The sequence below is a fragment of the Homo sapiens genome, chromosome 4 (genome assembly GCF_000001405.40).
Source record: "Homo sapiens chromosome 4, GRCh38.p14 Primary Assembly".
In the NCBI taxonomy this organism is placed as follows: Eukaryota; Metazoa; Chordata; class Mammalia; order Primates; family Hominidae; genus Homo; species Homo sapiens.
Window position 1 is genome coordinate 17792206 of NC_000004.12, and position 19655 is coordinate 17811860.

Consider the following 19655-nt stretch of genomic DNA (forward strand, 5'->3'; position numbering starts at 1 on the left):
GACAATCACAAGTGTTTGTAAAGATATGGAGCAACTGGAACTTCCATACATTGTTGGTGAGAGTGTAAAATGATACAGTCACATTAAAAAGTGTTTGGCATTGACAAATGGGATCTAATTAAACTAAAGAGCTTCTGCACAGCAAAAGAAACTACCATCAGAGTGAACAGGCAACCTACAGAATGGGAGAAAAATTTTGCAATCTACCCATCTGACAAAGGCCTAATATCCAGAATCTACAAAGAACTCAAACGAATTTACAAGAAAAAAATAAACAACCCCATCAACAAGTGGGTGAAGGATATGAACAGACACTTCTCAAAAGAAGACATTTATGCAGCCAAAAGACACATGAAAAAAATGCTCATCATCACTGGCCATCAGAGAAATGCAAATCAAAACCACAATGAGATACCATCTCACACCAGTTACAATGGCGATCATTAAAAAGTCAGGAAACAACAGGTGCTGGAGAGGATGTGGAGAAATAGGAACACTTTTACACTGTTGGTGGGACTGTAAACTAGTTCAACCATTGTGGAAGTCAGTGTGGCGATTCCTCAGGGATCTAGAACTAGAAATATCATTTGACCCAGCCATCCCATTACTGGGTATATACCCAAAGGATTATAAATCATGCTGCTATAAAGACACATGCACATGTATGTTTATTGAGGCACTATTCACAATAGCAAAGACTTGGAACCAACCCAAGTGTCCAACAATGATAGACTGGATTAAGAAAATGTGGCACATATACACCATGGAATACTATGCAGCCATAAAAAATGATGAGTTCGTGTCCTTTGTAGGGACATAAATGAAGCTAGAAACCATCATTCTCAGCAAACTATCGCAAGGACAAAAAACCAAACACTGCATATTCTCACTTATAGGTGGGAATTGAACAATGAGAACACATGGACACAGGAAGGGGAACATCACACACCGGGGCCTGTTGTGGGGTGGGGGGAGGCAGGAGGGACAGCATTAGGAGATATACCTAATGTTAAATGACGAGTTAATGGGTGCAGCACACCAACATGGCACATGTATACATATGTAACAAACGTGCACATTGTGCACATGTACCCTAAAACTTACATAAAAAAAAAGTGTTTGGCAGTTTTATTAAAAATAAATACACAACTACTCTGATATAGCAATTTGGTGCCTAGGTATATACCCAAAGGAATGAATACACATATCCACAAAAAACCAAACCAAAACAATACACACAGAATGTTTATTATAGCTTTATTCATAATAACAAAAAATTGGAAATAAATGTCAACAGGTAAAAGGATAAATGAATTATGATATATTCATATAATCAAATAGTCTATAACAATAAAAAAAAGAAGAAGTACATTGCTGAAAGAAGCCAGGCATAAAACAATATATACTGTATGATTCCATTCACATGAAATCTGAGAACAACCAAAACTAACAGATCTTTAGAAAAGAAGAGTTATTTCTGCGAGATGTATAGACTAGGAAAGGGCATAAGAGAATTTGAAATTTTTAATACTTTGATCTGAGTGTATACATTTTTATATGATCTTGATACGAATGTATACACATGTAAAAAAATCAAGTACACTTATGATTAGTGCACTCTATTTACTGTATATTTGTGATTTCTTACTTAGAAAAAAGGAGATGGACAAATTGGCCTGGCATGGTTTACTCAATAGATTTGATGACAGAGAGAAAAACCTATCAGCATACATATCACTTGCAAGTAAATAAAAATTCACTCTCAGACTATGTAATATTAACATAAACAAAGCAAAGAAAAAAACCCTGAATCATGACTCATAAGGAAACATCTAAAATATTATATAGGAATATATTATGGACCAGCCACTGTATGTAACCATATCTTGATAGCAAAAATAGCATGGAAGATGAAAAACAGTATCGAATTTCAGAATATTATTTTTAAAAAGTAGATACAGGTTGAGTATCCCTTATCTGAAATGTGTGGGAACAGAAGTGCTTCAGATTTAACTTTTTCAGATTTTGGAATATTTACATATACATAATGAGATATCTTTGGGATGGGAAGTCTAAACATGAAATTCATTCATGTTTCATATATACATAGCTTGAAGGTAATTTTATACAGTAGTTTTAATAAACTGTTGTGTGCCTTTGTTTTGACTGACCTGTCACATGAGGTCAGGTGTGAAATTCTCCATTTGTGCTGTCATGTTGGCACTCAAAAAGTTTTGGATTTTGGAGCATTTCAGATTTCAAATTTTTGGATTAGGAATGCTCAACCTGTAATTCTTTATGCTTTTGATTCTACAGAGGCTAAAATTTAAACAAAAAGCTTGCTGAAATTACTGCTATAGACTATGCATTATTTCTGTAAATAAATACAAAATTGAGATTTCCCTAAGCAAATCAAATACGAAAACAAATTGAAAAACTTTTTATTTTCTAAAAATATCTTCTGTGGCGCACATCTTATTGAAGTCAGCATCTACTGCAATTGTGGAGTATTATGCCGTAAGGACCAATCTAATTATAGCTGACAAGACTCCAATTTGCCTATACTTTTAATGTCAAATTTTTAAAAAACTGATTACTAAATAACATACTTTCTAAGAAATAAAATTTCAAATTTCCTGCTTATTTATACACTTTCCATTGTACTCAAATACTTTGTTCCCAGTTTTCCTAGATACCTACTTCCTGGAACCTCTGTCCTACTTACTTGACACAGTAGTCATCCTGGGACTTTCCTCGTTTTCCTTTGTGACATCTTTTAGTTTCAGGATCCCATGCCTTCTCAGATTACTCCCTCATTTTGGTAAAGCACATCCTCCAAGTGGCTTCCTAAGAAAAGGTAGATGGTGAGATAAAATTCTGAGACCATGCAAGTCTTAAGGTATCTTTATTTTAGCCCCACTCTTGATTGGATTATTTGAGTACAAAATTCTGCGTTGGAAATCATTTCTTTTTAAATTTAAAGACCTTGCTTTCATAGTCTTTCCGCATCCAGTGTTGCTACCAAGAAATCTAAATGCCATTTTGAAAACGTATCCTTTTTATGTAACTTTCTCCGCTACATTTATTGGGAAGCTTTTAGGTCCTTCCATAACTCTAGCATTCTGAAATATCCTAACAATGTGCTTTGGTATTTTTTAATTCATTTCACAGGGCACTTAGTGGACCCTTTTAATTTAGAAGACTAAAGTCTTATTATTTCCGGGAAATGTTATTTTAATTTTTTTCTCTCTTCACCTTCTTTCTCTGTTCTCTCATTTTGGAACTCATTTATTAGATGTTGCATCTTATTCAGGTTTAAGTTTCTTTTTTGTTCTTGCCTGCTTTTCATCTCTTTGTTCTACTTTTTAAAATTTCTTCAAGTTATTTTCTAATACATCTACTGAATGTTTACTTTTGGTTTCCTGTTTTTCCAATAGCTTTTGTTTTTGGATTGGTCATTTTTTAAAATAGCATCCTGATCCTATTTGATGGAAGCAGTATATTCCTTTCTGAGAATATCACAGCTTCTTTATGTTCATCTTTCATGTTGAAGGTTTCCTCAAATATCTAGTGATCCTTGGCTATCTGTGTACAGTGATTCCAAGTGACTGAAAGCTGTATATGAAGGAGCAGGCCTTGTGGACTCTCAGTTTCACTGTAACAAATAATCGAGGGTCAAGCTGTTTTTTTACTGCTTGTCTTTTTCGGTCAGGTGAGCAGGGCTGGGTATAAGCCCCATTGCCAGATTCTGTAGCCAGGTGGAGAAAAGTGGACTGGAGGCTCATAATGTTCAGAATACTCACATTCTGTTAATCATTTTGTCTTCCATATAGCACATCACTACCATTACCATCCTCCCCCTGTCCTCAGTTCTAAGTCTGTTTGGTTTAATTTCTCCAGACAATAAGGCTTCAGTCATCTGCTAGAGAGATAGCTGCCTGCCTACAAAAGAAGAGCAAAAATAAATGTTCAAATAATCCCCTTGTTTCAACTTTCTTTATTACTCCCACCTTCCAGGGTACCTTGTGCCTTTAAATCCTCAAGTCTTTTGGGGGTTCTGGAAGGCAAAGATAGGTGTTCCAAATTTGTGAACCTTTTCTGTGATGAAGAATGGGTATCATAACTGTGCTACCTATCGAGTATTTTTTGTTTTTAAAGAGTGATATACTTTCCCTTCATGGTAAAGAAGAGTGAGAAAGTAACTGCTTAAAACACACACAGATGGCCAGGTGCGGTGGCTCACGCCTGTAATTCCAGCACTTTGGGAGGCTCAGGTGGGTGGATCATGAGGTCAGGAGATTGAGACCATCCTGGCCAACATGGTGAAACCATCTCTACTAAAATACAAAAAATTAGCTGGGCATGGTGGTGCGCACCTGTAGTCCCAGCTACTCAGGAGGCCAAGGCAGGGAAATTGCTTGAACACAGGAGGTGGAGATTGCAGTGAGCCGAGATCGCACCACTGCGTTCCAGCCTGGCGACAGGGTGAGTCTCCATCTCACAACGACAACAAACCACAAACCCAAACTACCTGCTGTTGAGACAGCATTTAAAAAATTTGTGTTTGCAAATATTGTAATGGTTATGTGGTTATTTTAGCTAAATACCACGTGTCTCCTATAAAAACTCTCATATCTGCAATTGGGCCTCCTCTTCTGACACTCAACAACAGTTCTAAGAAATAAATAAATAAATATATAAGAAATACAACTTGGGTCAACTATGTGTGAGCCTTCCTTGCCCCCAGTCTCTTATTATTAAATATTATTATTTTAGAGATGGGCGGTTGCTCTGGTGCCCATGTTGGAGTGCAGTGGCATGACCATAACCCACTGCAACCTCAAACTCCTCAGCTCAAGCAATCCTCCCAATTTAGCCTCCTGAGTAGCTAGGACTACGGGTGTGCACCAGCACTGCTCCTGGCTACTAGTCAATTACTTAGACATAAGAAAACAACACATACTGGAAAGAGTCAAGACAGTTCCTGGGAACAACTACATAGACTAAAACCCAAGCTTAATCCATGCCACTAACATATTTATAGGGTTGCAGATAAAATGCAGGAAACTAAATTTGAATTTCAGATAAATAACATAACTTTTTTTCTGGTATATGTGCCATATTTCATTATTTTTCTGAAATTCAAATGTATTCGGGTGTCCTGTATTTCTTTTTGCTACATCAGGCAACCCAACCCATTTAAAGAAACGTGTCCCAAGTAGGATGTGACAACACAGAAAAACTGCATTCAAAGAAGGAAACTGGGGTCTGGTCCAAAGCTTTCAAGCCATGGGAGTCTACTTAAGTACCAAGTAGGTAGACAGGGATCAATATCATATAACACACTTTGCAGTAAGTCTACATGGAATGCATTGTCTGTGGCCAACATTAATGCCAGCTTTCAATTGATTCAGAAATTAGAGTTCTTCAGGTAGTGGCTGCACCCTTCTTTCACCAGAGCTCTGCCAGTCTATCAGGCCATTCTGGTTACTCAGGGTGCAACCAGAAAGCCCACCTAGGGTCTTTTTTGATGGAAGATGGCCATGCCCTTGGGCTGTTCCACTTGTTTGGGTACCTCTCAAAGAAGTTGCCCCTACTGGTCCATTGCTTAATTAATTTATTGTAAACCAAAACCATCAGCTGATACATTGGAGTGTCAGGTGCCACAGCTGATACCATAGATGGAAGGGTAGTATCAGGCATAGGCTGAGCAGTTAACCCAAACTTAACAATTTCTCCCCAAATAAAACTATAGTACCAGCTCCTTATTTTGCAACACTCATTTGAGGAGTTTCATCTGGTTTCTGTTGCTAATTTGAGAAACTAGCTTGGTTTATGTGTATACTAGGAAGTCAGTTTTAATCTTGTTAAGCTAACCAGTATCCTGAGTCCCTCCTGAATGATTGTTGTTATATAGAGCCTAACTCCCCTAATGATCCCAGGAATTTTCATATCACGTGTCAGAATCTTCCTAAATAAACTGCCCAAATTCCAGTCAACTTCGTTTTATGATTCAACTTGAAACTGTTGCTAACGTTTTTAACTGACTCCACAGTTTAGAAGAAATAACCCTATCGCTGTCTTCCTGTTACACTGTTATTTTCCTTTTTTTTTTTTTTTTTTTTTATACCAGGTACCAGTGTAACACCAGCACTTTGGGAGGCTGATGTGGGAGGATCACTTGAGCTCAGGAGTTCCTGACCAGCCTGAGTGAAACTGCCTCTACAAAGAAATACAAAAATTGGCCTGTGTGGTGGTGTGCACCTGTAGTCCACAGCTACTGATGAGGCTGAGGTGGGAGGATGGCTTGAGCCCAGGAGGTCGAGGCTGCGGTGAGCCAAGATTATGCCCCTGCACTCCAGCCTAGGCAAGAGCGAAACCCTGTGTCAAAAAAATAAAAAAATAATAATAATAATAAAAGAAAACCAGGCATTCATTTTCCAGAGCTCATTGAGAATAGCTGGTCATAGCTCTCACAGAAGATGGGAAGCCAGCAAGTGTCAGGTCACTGTGGTATATCCTCATCCTTTCCATTTCTTGGTCTCAGTTGCAAACTTAAGTCTCACTGCGGCTGCTAATTGAAAGGAAGAGCTTGGCAAACTGCATGGAATTAGCAGACTCAAATATGTAGTCATTAACTCAACTGTATTTAAAATTATTTGAGACACATCATAGACATTTTTCTTTTAGCAACAGCAAGTTGACATAGAAGTACTGGTGGTTGGTCCAGCTAATGTAACTCCCTCAGTCCAATGGGTATCACTGGCGGACAGATACGTTACCAGCTTGCACAGTTAACTCATGAAGTCTGAGAAGTTATCCATACTTCTCAGGCTGTTCTATATGTCCTAGCTACCTGAGCAAAACACTTTTGGCCCTGATCTTTGTGCCACTACCTTGTGATTAGCAGATATAATTTAAATCTGGATACAAAATATCTATATATTTTCTCCATTTCCTTGGCTGAGTATCCGTTGTGGGGGTTTAATTGAAGTCTGCCCTCCAGATGAATCTTCATTATACTTGGATGGCTGCTCCATTCAATTCTTTTATATGATTCTCCACTATAAGCTATTTTCAATATGTGAAGGGCCAACATATGGATTAGGGTTTAGGTTTATTTAATATGACCCTAGACAGCAGAAATGGCTTGGGGTAACATATAGGTTCATATATTTTAAAACTAATTTCCTATGTGTAGTAATCTTATTTAGTTTTGCATTCCCAGTGTCTGCACTAGAGTAGGCACTTCTCCATAGCAATATTGGATGAATGGCTAAATTTCTAACAAGAGATATTTAAAACTAACAGGCTGCTCCAAAAGACATATTCTCTAACACTGGAGCCAAAAGTAGAAAGCCAGATGCAAGCCAACTTACGCATCAGAAAATAACCCAAGTGACTTCTAAAGTCTTTAAATGCTTTAGCTATTTACACTATCAAAACATTTTCATCAGAGACTTTTTTTTTAAAATATGGACAGGTGTGATAGAAGACCCAGCAGGAAGGGCTTCTATCCCCTAGAGGGGACCTATCATATGCCCTCCTGCCATGCATGTATGGATTTTTTTCTTTTCTTAGGAAGCAGATGGGATTAAAAGACGTGATTATGGTCTTTGAGGCTCAAGGTATCTGGACTGTTTTAATAAAAATGTTGCCTATGGCTGGGCACGGTGGCTCATGCCTGTAATCCCAGCACTTTGGGAGGCTGAGGTGGGTGGATCACCTGAAGTCAGGAGTTAGAGACCAGCCTGACCAATTGAGAAACCCCATCTCTACTAAAAATACAAAATTAGCTGGGCGTGGTGGCACATGCCTGTAATTCCAGCTACTCGGGAGGCTGAGGCAGAATTGCTTGAACCCGGGAGGTGGAGGTTGCAGTGAGCCGAGATTGCGCCATTGCACTCCAGCCTGGGCAACAAGAGCGAAACTCCATCTCAAAAAAAAAAAAAAAAAAAAAGTTGCCTATCTGCACTGAGAAAGTAAAAGACAGTTAATGTCCACTGGTTTAGAAATAGTTTCCTTACTCCTTTGATAAATATTTCTATAAATAGAGGATAAAATAATCTTTTTATCTTAATTATGGTGACTGCATTTAACAGAAGCCAACATAGGGAGTGCAAAGGTAGTAAATTCATTCCCAAACCCAGTGTTTATGCCACACAAAAAGTTAACTTAAGGCTTATTTAGGTACCTGTTATTTTGTGCAACCTGGAATTACTTAAAATACATAAACAAATAAGCTCACTTTGAATCTTGACTGAATATCAGACATTTTCTTCTTCAAGTGTGTTTCTTCTCTAGAGACGCCAAGTCATCTCCTGTCAGACATACTATATAGATTCAGGTACTGTATCTATTAACTCTATTCAGTACTTAGTGAATGTAGAATATGCCTTAAGCAAAGTAGGATCTATTTCATTTGTTGAGGACAAATGACCATACTCTGTTCAGCATGTACAAAGCTATTGGTTTATTCAGCTGCCAAGCTGGGGAAAGGCTTCCTTTCGAAGTGAATAGCAAAAATGCATTCATGAGCAAGGCACTTTTATACACACACAGAGAGAAAAAGGAACGTATTATGAACACATGAACATAAACATATTTTAATATTCAGACCTCTTCCCTACCTCCTCCCACCTCCACTTAAACAAACAAACAAAAAAAAAGGAAACAGTTTCCTGTAACATTTTAGAAACCAGTTTCACAGAATACCTACATAGGAACAATTTCTGATACATTCAGTTACACTAACAATATGATATGGTTTCAGGTCAATAATTTCCACTAACAAATACTTTTATTCTACAATTCCCTCTTTTTTCCTTTAGACAAGACAACTAAGGCTCAGCAGAAATATTCACTAGGTTATAAGCATTCTTCTCTCTTCTTAAAGTTGCTATATATTTACACAATTTGTGATTCCTAACCTTTTTTTTTTTTGAGACGGTGTCTCACTGTTGCCCAGGCTGGAGTGCAGTGGCGCGATCTCAGCTCATTGCAACCTCCACCTCCCAGGTTCAAGCAATTCTCCTGTCTTAGCCTCCCAAGTAGCTGCGATTACAGGCACATGCCACCACGCCCGGCTAATTTTTATATTTTTAGTAGAGATGGGCTTTCACCATGTTGGCCAGGCTGGTCACGAACTCCTGATCTCAAGTGATCCACCTGCCCTCAGCCTCCCAAACTGTTGGGATTACAGGCATGAGCCACCATGCCTGGCCTGCTTCAATTTTTTGATGCCACTTTGTAAACGGCACTTAATTATGGAAAATAGGAAAAAGCAAAACTAAAATAAGGAAGAGGATATATATATAACTTTTCACAATCTCTTTTCTGATTCCCTTTAGATGCCCAGTCAACCAGGACCACACACAGATTTCATTTTATTTGTAGAGTATATGAAAAGATTTAATAGTCTCATGCATTTTATTTTACGTATACTGATTTCTACGTTTTGACTGACTATTTAAATAAACAAAACAAGACTCATTTACAAGGGCATATACTCTTCCTTGTTTGGCCAGAAGAAAATCTATAGCTAAATCTACTTAGAAAAACAATGCTGCTAAAACTCTTAACTTCAGATTGTATTAGGCTGAGATTTTCTAATAACAAGGTTCTTTAAAATTAGAAGGGTTCAATCCCAGCACTTTGGGAGGCCGAGGCAGGTGGATCACGAGGTCAGGAGATCAAGACCATCCTGGCTAACACGGTGAAACCCTGTCTCTACTAAAAATACAAAAAAATAGCCAGGAGTGGTGGTGGACGCCTGTAGTCCCAGCTATTCGGGAGGCAGGGCAGGAGAATGGCACGAACCCGGGAGGCAGAGCTTGCAGTGAGCTGAGATCATGCCACTACACTCCAGCCTGGGCGACAGAGCAAGACTCCGTCTCAAAAAAAAAAAAAAAAAAAAAATTAGAAGGGTTCCTGAAAAGTTTGCAATGGATGTGGAAAGTACTTGAGCTTTTACTCCAGGAAATGCTATACAGATTAAAATTTTAATCCATTAGCAGTTAATGCTGAAAGCAGAAATGCTCTCTTAATCATTTTTCCATTCATCTTTTGAAATGTTATTTACTCTTGACAAAAGTCTGAGTACCAAGATTCAGGAAACACATTCCCTACAGAACAGGTGTTTGTTTAATCCCAAGGGATGATCTTATAGGCTGATTTAGTCAGAGACAGCCTGGTGGGAGACTCCGATATAGAACGTTCATGCTGTAATTTTAAGTACCATAATAAGTTTGTAGTAGTATAGGCTAGGCTTAAAACTGCACTCCTCCTGCCTCCCCGCCCCCTTCCAAAAAAAAGAAAAAGTGAAAGGAACTCTAAAGAGTGTCATATGCAGGCACATCTATATAAAAGCTGGGAAAGAAATTCATATCCCTGCCATTTTCCTTTGTGTAGTTACCCAGTTTAATTCAACTACCTCAAAAAAAAAAAAAAAGAAAAAATAAAAGGAACCCTAAAGAGTGTCATATGTAGGCACATCTATATAAAAGCTGGGAAAGAAATTCATAGCCCTGCCATTTTCCTTTGTGTAGTTACTCAATTTAATTCAACTACTTCCACAGAAATGTATGTTAGAGAAGAGTATGCTCAGAAAGGTATTATTGTGGGTAGCTAACTTCTTGCTTTCAACAATGGCTGTTCTAAAGTCTGGATAACAAAAGGGGTGGTGGTCTACTTTTCTTCATTAATAATCAGGTATCTCATTAAAGCCATTCAGAAAGGCAGAGTAAATTGGGGTGGGGAGGGTGAGAAGTGAGTGTGAAGAATATTCAACTATCTTTTGTAATATGGTCCCCTTAACTAATTCTCCTTTTTTTTTTTTGAGACTGAGTCTCGCTCTGTCACCCAGGCTGGAGTACAGTGGCATAATCTCAACTCACCGCAACCTCCGTCTCCTGGGTTCAAGTGATTCTCCTGTTTCAGCCTCCCGAGTAGCAGGGATTACAGGCGTGCACTGCTGCGCCCGGCTAATTTTTTTATTTTTAGTAGAGACAGGGTTTCACTGTGTTGGCAAGGCTGGTCTCAAACTTCTGACTTCAGCAGATCCACCCGCCTCAGCCTCCCAAAGTGCTGGGATTACAGGTGTGAGCCACCATGCCTGACCTTGATATTATCATTTTATCCACAGGGTTTGTCAAAGGGTATCCTCATTGGCTTGCCAGGGCATAAGAGAGTTTGACTGAGAAGGCATTAGTGGGCTGTGTAATGACTAACTTTGTACCACTTTCTCAATTAGCAACATCAGAGATATCAGAGCAAATGGTAGATCTTTACAGTGATGCAGTTAGGAGTTTGTTAACTGCCTTTTGGAAGTCAGTGTAAGAATAAGTAGTGTTGATGGGTTCAGTACGAGTTGTTTCCTTAACTGTTTTAGTCAGCCAGCCACAGCAACACCCAGAAACACATGAATTAGGGATCTGTTTTAGGTATTCAGGTATGGGAGTGGCTCTACTCAATGTTCGGCTTAGCTGTTTGGTGGCAAATTGCAGTGCTCCATTTAGAGTGGCATGATCTCTAGAGAGCCGGCTGGGACTTGTAAGAGGCTTTTGAAAAGGTGGGACTCCACAAGAGGCCAGAGGGGGCCATTCAGGAATTGGTTCCAGTTTGGGGACACAATGGGAACAATGGGAGAGTCTTAGACCTATCTCTCGAAGTATATGGACTGGTGTGCTTGGATCCAACAGTTTAGCATGATACAACCAGGAATTAGGATTTAAAGGTTTCCAAGTTGTGGAATATTTTAAAAGGCACTTAACCTGCCAGGCAAGACTCTCAAGAGGCGATAAGTTGGGCACCATAGAGTCCTCTTCTTCAGAGGAATCCCACTCTTCCCCAGAACTCTCATTTAGGTAACTAATATTTTCTTCTTCCTCACTTTCTGATTCTGACAAGTGGTCAGGAGAGGGATTTCTAGGACCCATCAGAATAAAACACAGTAAGGAACCAGAAAAAGGTAATAATCTAAGCCAGCAGAACACTGACTAACACTGGCAAATAGAAATAAGAGATGAAAAATCCTTTCACCAAGATTAATTTGTCTTTCAGTCCGTTACACACATAAAGTATGCTTGTGGCCCATACCACTGTGCCGTTCTTCAAGATTATGTTGTATATTCTTCACTTACAAAGAAGACATCTCAGTTTCCAGGACCAGTTCAGTGTGTAAAAGTATTAGTCACTTACCACTGGCACAGGTCAGAGTATCTCCTTCAAATCCTGGCTACCCAAGAATAGAAGGGGTCCTCATCTAGGCAAGCTGATTTACTTAGCATAGTCCCAACTGGTAGTGATACTGTGAAGAGACACTTTTTGTGCTGTTTTGCTGGCAGTGATATTATATCTACTTGACAATCAAAAGAAGCTCAGTAGTTGTCTTGCTTGTCCGCTGGTATAGCAACTTTTGTGCAGGGGGGAATGACGGGATGAGCTGTCAAGAACATCTGGTGTATAAGGATCCGATGCTTTCCATAGGTGATGCAAATGCCCTTGGAAACTGGTGATTTAGCTGTTGGATTATCTGGAAAGGTAGCCTTAACCTGTGAATGAGAAGACTAGAGACATGATATTAAAGCCTGAAAGCACTGGATAACATTATTGCCTACCTAACTTCAAGATATCTAAAATCAGAACAAATGCTGAGCAAGAAGTCTTACAGACTCTTCCCTCTCTATCTCACAGACTTAGGCCAATTTACCTGTTGGTAATAGCTCTTACAATCACAATATTGGGGAGCAAAGTCTGGGGCCATTTTAATTCTTTGTTGGTACATAACTGGGCCAGTTTGTATGCAGTTTTAGCCTAGAAAATTACTTTTGCAAAAGCTGATCCCTTATGCCCCAAACTCCAAATAGAGAGCTATAAAAGTTTTTTTTTTTTTTTTTTTTACCTTCAGAGGTGCTTGTTGGAATTAGTTTTAGGGGGCCTGTCCTGGTGGTAGAGCTGCTAGATGTTAGGACTCTTGCTGGGACCTCAGAAGTTGTGATCCTATCACCAATTCTATATAAGCTGTTCCACAAAAAAGAAAAAAGCATGAAAACTGACCAGCTACTTTTATAAAGATAATAAAAATAAATCCCAAACTTAGAGATGAACCAAACAAGAAAAGTATAGGCTCACTTCACTTGCAAAATCCTAAATATCACTTAACAGAATCCAACAGTACATTAAAAAGAATGTTATTATCAAATATGGCCTATCCCAGGAAAGTAAGAATAGCTCAAATTAAAAAAAAGTATAAATTACCAGAACTAAAGGAAAAAAAGAGAGAATTTTATTGAATGTGGATAACTTTTGTTAGTTCCTGACCACCATGTATTTATTATTTAAAAGACAAAACATTTTTACCAAACTAGAAAGAGAATGTAACTTTCTCAACTTGGTAAAGGTTATCTACCAAAATCTTTAAGCAAACATTATCCTGAATAAGATGAGATACATTTCCTTTAAAAGTGAAGTCAGGGGCAGGACACAGTGGCTCATGCTTGTAATCCTAGCATTTTGGGAGGCCAAGGGTGGAGGATCACTTGAGATCAGGAGTTCAAGACCAGCCTGGGCAATATGGCAAGACCCTGTCTCTACAAAAAAATTTTAAAAATTTAGCCAGGCGTGGTGGTGTGTGCCTTTAGTTCTAGCTACTTGGGAGGCTGAGGCAGGCGGACTGCTTGAGCCCAGGAGTTGGAGGCTGTGTGGTGAGCTATGATCACACCACTGTACTCCAGTCTGGGTGACAGAATGAGACTCTTCTCTACAACAACAACAACAGCAAAAAGTGAAATTAGCTAAAGATAACCATGTTGACTGAGACTGATACTGTCTGACACAGTACTGAAAGTTCTAATCAACATTTTTCTCTTTTTGGAAAAAGATACGTTAAGAATTGGAAGAGATAAAACTATTAGCTTACAGATGATATCATCCAATTTAAAAAACCATACAAACTATTAGAGTTCAACAATGTTCCTGATCTGAAATTAACCTATGAATATTCATTAATTTAATTACTCATATAACACTATTTGCCATGTACTACTCTAGTAACTGCACAAATGTTAACTATTTTAAAATTCTTCTAACAACCCTAAAAGTTGGTACTTTTATTGTCCCCATCTTACCTGTGGATTAAGTTACGTGATCAAAGCCATTCATCTAGTAAGTCACGGGGCCAGTGTTTCAACTCAGGCACTGTTAACTTTTATACCAGCAATACTAACTTTTATACCAGCAATACTAACTAGACCATATATAAAGACATTTCACAGAAGGAAAAACAAACAACAAAAACCTAATCCTATAAAGAACCTAGGAACTAATCATGAATATGTAAGACCTAATAAACAATATAGATGATAATTTAAAATACAGACATTCCATGCTCTTGGATGGAACAAATATCATAAAGATATCAACTTTCTCCCTATTAATTTATACAATTCCAATCAAATTTTTAAGGAACTCTATAAACAAACCTTAAAGTTTATATAGAAAGAATAAAATTCCACATATAGCCAAATGAACTGTTTAAACAGTAAGGGAGTTCCTATTCTTCAAGGTATGTCCTATGACTAAAGTCACAGACATTAAAATAAGGTAGGATTAGCATAAGAACAGACAATAGTCCAATAGAGCAGAATAGAGCTTAGAAACAGAGCTATATATAATTTGGGAATGTAATATAAAATAAGGTTGGCACATAAACTAAGGGTGAATGGATATGTTTAGTACATATTATTGGTACAACTGGCTCATTATATGAAAAAAAGTAAAACTGTATTGGAATAAGAATTAAGAAAAAATTAAGAACAAGGTTAAGAAAAAAATGAAAAGTAAAACCATTTAATACATATACATATAATGACATGTATAAGGGAGGATTCATGATGGATTAAAGACCTAAATGGGGATGGTAAAACTATATAGTTAGTTAAATATAATACAGAATATCTTTGTGAAATGAGGCCAGGGAAAGACTTCTTAAACAAAAAAGCATAAAGCACCAGACCAAAAAATGAATTTAATCACATCACAATTAATCATTTCTGGACTGAACTAAAGATACCAAGGACAAAGTTAAATCAATTTTTAAGAAAGCAACTTCAATAAAGAAATGAGCAATGGACAAAGATATCCAAATTATAGAAGAGAAAATCCCAAGGCATGAACAATATGATCACATTATGCTATCAGTTTGGTAGAATAAGAAAGCTGGATAACACCAAGTGTCAGTGAGTTCTTTTTTGGAACTGGCACTGCTGGTGGGATTGCAGAGTGGAGTAACTGTTCGGAAGAACAGTCCGGCAGCACTACTTAGGCAAACTATTTGCACATCTCATGATCTAGCAATCCTACTTTTGGGCATAGATAGCAAAGAAATTCCCGTATGAACAACATGTATGAAGATATACCCTGAAGCTACATCTGTGATGACAGGAATTAGAAGCATTCTAGGTTCCTATCGCTGGAGAAGCGGACTGGTAAAATGTGGAAACACATTCCAAGTATATACAGCAACATGGGTGGCCTTTAAAGGCATAGCTTTAAATGAGAAAAGAGACAATATCAATGTCTCGTTTATGCTACTCTGTAGGGGGGATTTCCAAAATCAAAGTCAGTGAACATTTTCATTATCGAATACACTGAGTTGTGCTAATAAGGTCATATGGTATGGCTTCAGGTCAGCAATTTTCCTCTAATGAGTATTTCTCTGGCTTTCACACACTCCTAGCACAGTGTCTGGCATATATGAGTGGCTCAGTAAATAAAAGAGTCAGAGAATGGCAAAGGCCTGCAGTAAGTAACTACCACAAGCATGTTCTATTTTACTCCAGGGAGAGAACAGTTCCAAGTTATATCTTGGTGATTTGGTAATGTTAGACAAAGACAAATGAGATAATTTTTTTAAGGCAGGATCAACATATATGATGCTACTACAGCAATATAAAGGAAACTGCTTATAACTTTAAGAAGAAACAATGTAATACTTCTAAGTTTAGATTATAGTACTATTACCTTGTTCAATCTGAAAAAGAGTATTCATTCTTTGTCGTGGACCGTAAGTCTTTATTAACTGAGACAGGAGAAGCTGTTGGCTTTTAATTGTGCTGTCCTCTAATATTTTTACTATTTTCACTTCAACCAGATTGCACCTGTGAGATTACTAATTGGCTATACTTCAGTTATTATGTTACTCAGAAAATTTTTAAAAAGGCTCTTACTTTCCCATAATTGTTTTTGTTCTGTTTCACAGTACAAAAGTCAGGAAAAATGTAAGCTTTAAGGCAGTATACTATGTTGTTTAAATTTAATCTAGCACCTTTGAAAAAATATTTTCAGATTATAATATCAAAAAATACTGAACCAATACCCCCATGGCTTTAACCATTAAAACAAAACAAAACAAAAAAAAAAACTAACCGAAATATAGTTAGGCTGACCTCTGGCGGCCAGATGTCTCATTCTTCTGTAACTGACAAAATGGTGTGATGTCTCTGTTGGTGAGACAGCCAAATAGAATATAGTAAAGAAATACTAGCCGGGCGCGGTGGCTCACGCCTGTAATCCCAACAGTTTGGGAGGCAAAGGCGGGTGGATCACCTGAGGTCAGGAGTTCGAGACCAGCCTGGCCAACATGGCGAAACCCCGTCTCTATTAAGAATACAAAAGATTAGCCAGGTGTGGTGGTGCATGCCTGTAACCCAGCTACTTGGGAGACTGAGGCGGGAGAATCGCTTCAACCCGGGAGGCAGAGGTTGCAGTGAGCCGAGATCGCGCCATTGCACTCCAGCCTGGGCGACAGAGCAAGACTCTGTCTCAAAATAAAAATAAAAAAATATATATTAGAAACGTCACAAAGCAAAATTATGGGCAACACAAATGTTACCACATTCTTAACTAGCAGCTGAATATCTACAAAGTTTGAGGAATTAAGCAGGAGAATGGATAAGGTATGGCATATTAATACAATGGAGTACTATAGCAACCTGTCTGTGCCGTAGTTTCCTCATCTTAAAAGAAGATCAAAGTTATCCTACAGGGTTTGTGAGCAGTAAACGAAGTAAAGTGCTTAGCATGGTGTCTGGCACATAATAAAGGTTAATTAAGTGCAAGTTACTATTATGAACATATCAATATGAACCACAGCAATATTGATTGAAAAAAGCCAGATGCACATATAATTATTCATTTAACGGTTAAAACATGCAAAATAGTACAATATCCTCATTCAGGGATTTATTCATGTCATTAATATATTAAAATATGTCATTAAGATATAGAAAGCTGCATGGTAAAAGTTAACAGTAAATTCAGAAAATCCATTACTTCTTCGGAGGGCAGGTAATTCAAAAGGAGAAAGATGTACAGGTGGCTTTAGTAATGTTCTATTTCTTCAGCTGGCAGTAGGTTACTGAGGTGTAGGAGAGGGAAAAACGGCTTCCCTCCATCCTCCTAGGTTCTTTGGCTGGGTTACAAATTAACCTGACATAGACATTAACAAGAAAAAAAACCCGTACTTAATTACATACGCAGAGGAGTCCCACCATGGTCAGATGATTGAATATTATACAGCATCCTACGCTACTCAAGAAATGGGGGCTTGCGGCTTTCTGGGGGATGGTGGCCACAAAGTTGTGGAAAGGTGAGGGGAGGAAATATACGGTGAATAAAAGTTGTCTTGGTATGCAGATAAGATCTCCCAGGTAACAAAAATTATCGCAGAGCTGCCCTCTTTCTGATACAGATCCTTTACTGATGTATATTTCCTCTGTAGATGTCAATTTCTTTTACAACAGGACAGATTTTCAGAGCGACTCCTGTGTCTGCATTTTATCAGAATACCAGCTCAAAATATACTCTAGAAGTATATTGTAGGGTGGCATATTTTGGTCTCCTACAGTCCTATTTTTGGATGGTGCATCCTGAGATCCAACAGAAGTTCTGTCTGATATAATTTCATTTAAAATTTAAAAACCTAGTTCCTACTCTTCTTTATTTTAACCACTACCCGAAAGACCTTTCCATTCTCTTGAGTTCTCCCTTAATACACTGTCCTTATGCACACTTGTAAACAGGGCCTACACAGCTGCACATCTAGAAACGGCAGCAGCTAAGTTAGCCCGCACCCCCCTTCGCAACGATCCCCGGACTGCCTGCACGCCCTGTGGAACCTCGCAGTCGGCTTCACCAGGGCAGGGACTAAGGCCTTCAAAAGACAGCATCCGTCTCCACTAACCTCGGGTCGCCCCGCTCAGCGGACCCAGCAGCGTCGTCTCCCTTCTCAGAGGTGGCCGGGCCTCCGGAACGCGCTACGAACTTTCCTTTGTCGCCGTCTCTCGAAGCGGAGCCCTCGTGTGGGGATCCCCCGCCCTTCGGCCACAAGGGAGGTTGTTATCCTCGGCAGATCTCCCGTTCTCACTCTTGGAGGATCGCTTTTTCTTTCTAGCCTCACGCTCAGCCGCACGACCCAGCCAGGCCTAACGCCAGCAGCCCTTCCCCTCCGGTGGCAAGGCCACTCCGCTCAGCTCCCGCGCCGACGCTACTTCCGGCCGAGTCAAGGCCCCTCCCCCTTAGAAACGCCACTTCCCTCCGTGAAAACGGCTGGACAAGGTTGAACCTAGACGCATGCGCCCAAAGCGCGGGGTGCGAGGTGGGTGGACCCATCGCTTCCCGCTCTCTTCTCCCAAAGCGCTTACGGCAGTCTCGCGGGATTTCCCCCTCTCGCGGGAATTATTTGAACGTTCGAGCGGTAAATACTCCCTGGGGCTGTCATAGAAGACTACTCGGAGAGCGCTGCCTCTGGGTTGGCGGGCTGGCAGGCTGTAGCCGAGCGCGGGCAGGACTCGTCCCGGCAGGGTTCCAGAGCCATGGGAGCGGAAAGGAGGCTGCTGTCGATTAAGGAGGCCTTTCGGCTGGCGCAGCAGCCGCACCAGAACCAGGCGAAGCTGGTGGTGGCGCTGAGCCGCACCTACCGCACGGTAAGCGCTCCCGGCCCCGGCCGCCGCCTCTCGCCCGCCCCGGCCCACCCTCCCTCAGGGGCCCTCCGTGGCCCTCGGGCTCGGCGCACCGTGACTCCAGCCTTGTTCACCTTCGCGACTCACTTCATAGGGATCTGAGGTTCGGAGAAGTCAGGGACTTACCCGAGGTCGCCTGGGCCCAGGCCAGAAAGCCTCCGAAGCCTGGGCGTCGTTCACACGGGCCCCGCCTTGGCTTTTCTGAGCCGACACCCCCAGCTTCTGGGCGGCGTGGACCGTTATTCCTTAGTCCGATCGTGAACGTGGAGAGAAACATTTACGACCACCGAGGCGATCAGACATCAAATATTGAACCGCAGAGTGGATCCTGAATGCGGGGGTTCAGTGGTCGTTGCCCCTGGGGTCATCGCTCCCCGCCGAACATCAAATGATTCTACCCTTGTCCTACGGTTACGTTGAATCCAATCACCAAATACCAAATTATTTTTAGGGCCTGGCCATTCTTATTTATGTACATACTATTTGTTTGTTTTGAGTGGAACCTTGAGAAGAATAGAACAATTAATTTGGGGAAGATGAATTATCTTGAGGTCCAAGAAAAATTGTGAGTAAACATCACAGGGCTTTGAGGATATGAGATAGGATGTGCAAGTTATCTCATAAAGAAACTGCTGG

The 19655-nt window shown here is 39.8% G+C and overlaps 2 protein-coding genes across 16 annotated transcripts in view, besides 5 other annotated features; one reads left to right on the top strand and one right to left on the bottom strand.

Annotated features, from left to right (window-relative positions):
- Positions 1–1240: 1240 nt before the first annotated feature.
- DCAF16 (DDB1 and CUL4 associated factor 16) lies at positions 1241–18552 on the bottom strand. 13 transcript variants are annotated; one of them, NR_144310.2, is made up of 4 exons: positions 18242–18552; positions 12902–13020; positions 12199–12551; positions 1241–2847 (listed from the first exon to the last, which is right to left on the bottom strand). NR_144310.2 is itself a non-coding variant. In NM_001345880.2 (4 exons), the coding sequence occupies exon 4, from the start codon at positions 11934–11936 to the stop codon at positions 11286–11288; it is 651 nt and encodes a 216-aa protein (NP_001332809.1). In that variant the 5' UTR covers positions 11937–12566; positions 12902–13020; positions 17332–17487; positions 18242–18552; the 3' UTR covers positions 8450–11285. The 13 variants fall into 13 exon arrangements, 9 of the variants coding, with proteins under 9 accessions (NP_001332809.1, XP_047271816.1, NP_001332814.1 ...); NR_144301.2 differs by having other exon boundaries at positions 12199–12566; NM_001345880.2 differs by lacking the exon at positions 1241–2847 and adding an exon at positions 17332–17487 and having other exon boundaries at positions 8450–12566.
- Positions 16321–16470: an enhancer, noted in NCBI's record as "active region_21354". NCBI's record gives its function as "activates an Ori minimal core promoter by ATAC-STARR-seq in GM12878 lymphoblastoid cells {active_cell/tissue: GM12878}" and the evidence as "EXISTENCE:reporter gene assay evidence [ECO:0000049][PMID:35858748]".
- Positions 18090–18179: an enhancer, noted in NCBI's record as "active region_21355". NCBI's record gives its function as "activates an Ori minimal core promoter by ATAC-STARR-seq in GM12878 lymphoblastoid cells {active_cell/tissue: GM12878}" and the evidence as "EXISTENCE:reporter gene assay evidence [ECO:0000049][PMID:35858748]".
- Positions 18221–18732: an enhancer, noted in NCBI's record as "H3K27ac hESC enhancer chr4:17812049-17812560 (GRCh37/hg19 assembly coordinates)". NCBI's record gives its function as "activates a minimal SCP1, AML or CMV promoter by ChIP-STARR-seq in naive H9 embryonic stem cells {active_cell/tissue: H9 hESC(naive)}" and the evidence as "EXISTENCE:reporter gene assay evidence [ECO:0000049][PMID:30033119]".
- Positions 18300–18459: an enhancer, noted in NCBI's record as "active region_21356". NCBI's record gives its function as "activates an Ori minimal core promoter by ATAC-STARR-seq in GM12878 lymphoblastoid cells {active_cell/tissue: GM12878}" and the evidence as "EXISTENCE:reporter gene assay evidence [ECO:0000049][PMID:35858748]".
- Positions 18733–19245: an enhancer, noted in NCBI's record as "H3K27ac hESC enhancer chr4:17812561-17813073 (GRCh37/hg19 assembly coordinates)". NCBI's record gives its function as "activates a minimal SCP1, AML or CMV promoter by ChIP-STARR-seq in naive and primed H9 embryonic stem cells {active_cell/tissue: H9 hESC(naive and primed)}" and the evidence as "EXISTENCE:reporter gene assay evidence [ECO:0000049][PMID:30033119]".
- Positions 18774–19655, top strand: part of NCAPG (non-SMC condensin I complex subunit G) — a 33887-nt gene continuing 33005 nt past the window's right edge. For all 3 annotated transcript variants that reach the window (NR_073124.2, XM_017008543.3, NM_022346.5), the window contains exon 1: positions 18774–18983. Coding sequence is in view for 2 of the 3 variants with exons in the window: in XM_017008543.3 (XP_016864032.1) it covers positions 18873–18983 (111 nt within the window). In the remaining variant the exon portion in view is untranslated. The remainder of the gene's footprint in view (positions 18984–19655) is intronic.

Coding starts and splice junctions, on each gene's coding strand:
- DCAF16 (NM_001345885.2), bottom strand. CDS start 11,936: ATGGGTCCTAGAAATCCCTCTCCTGACCACTTGTCAGAATCAGAAAGT.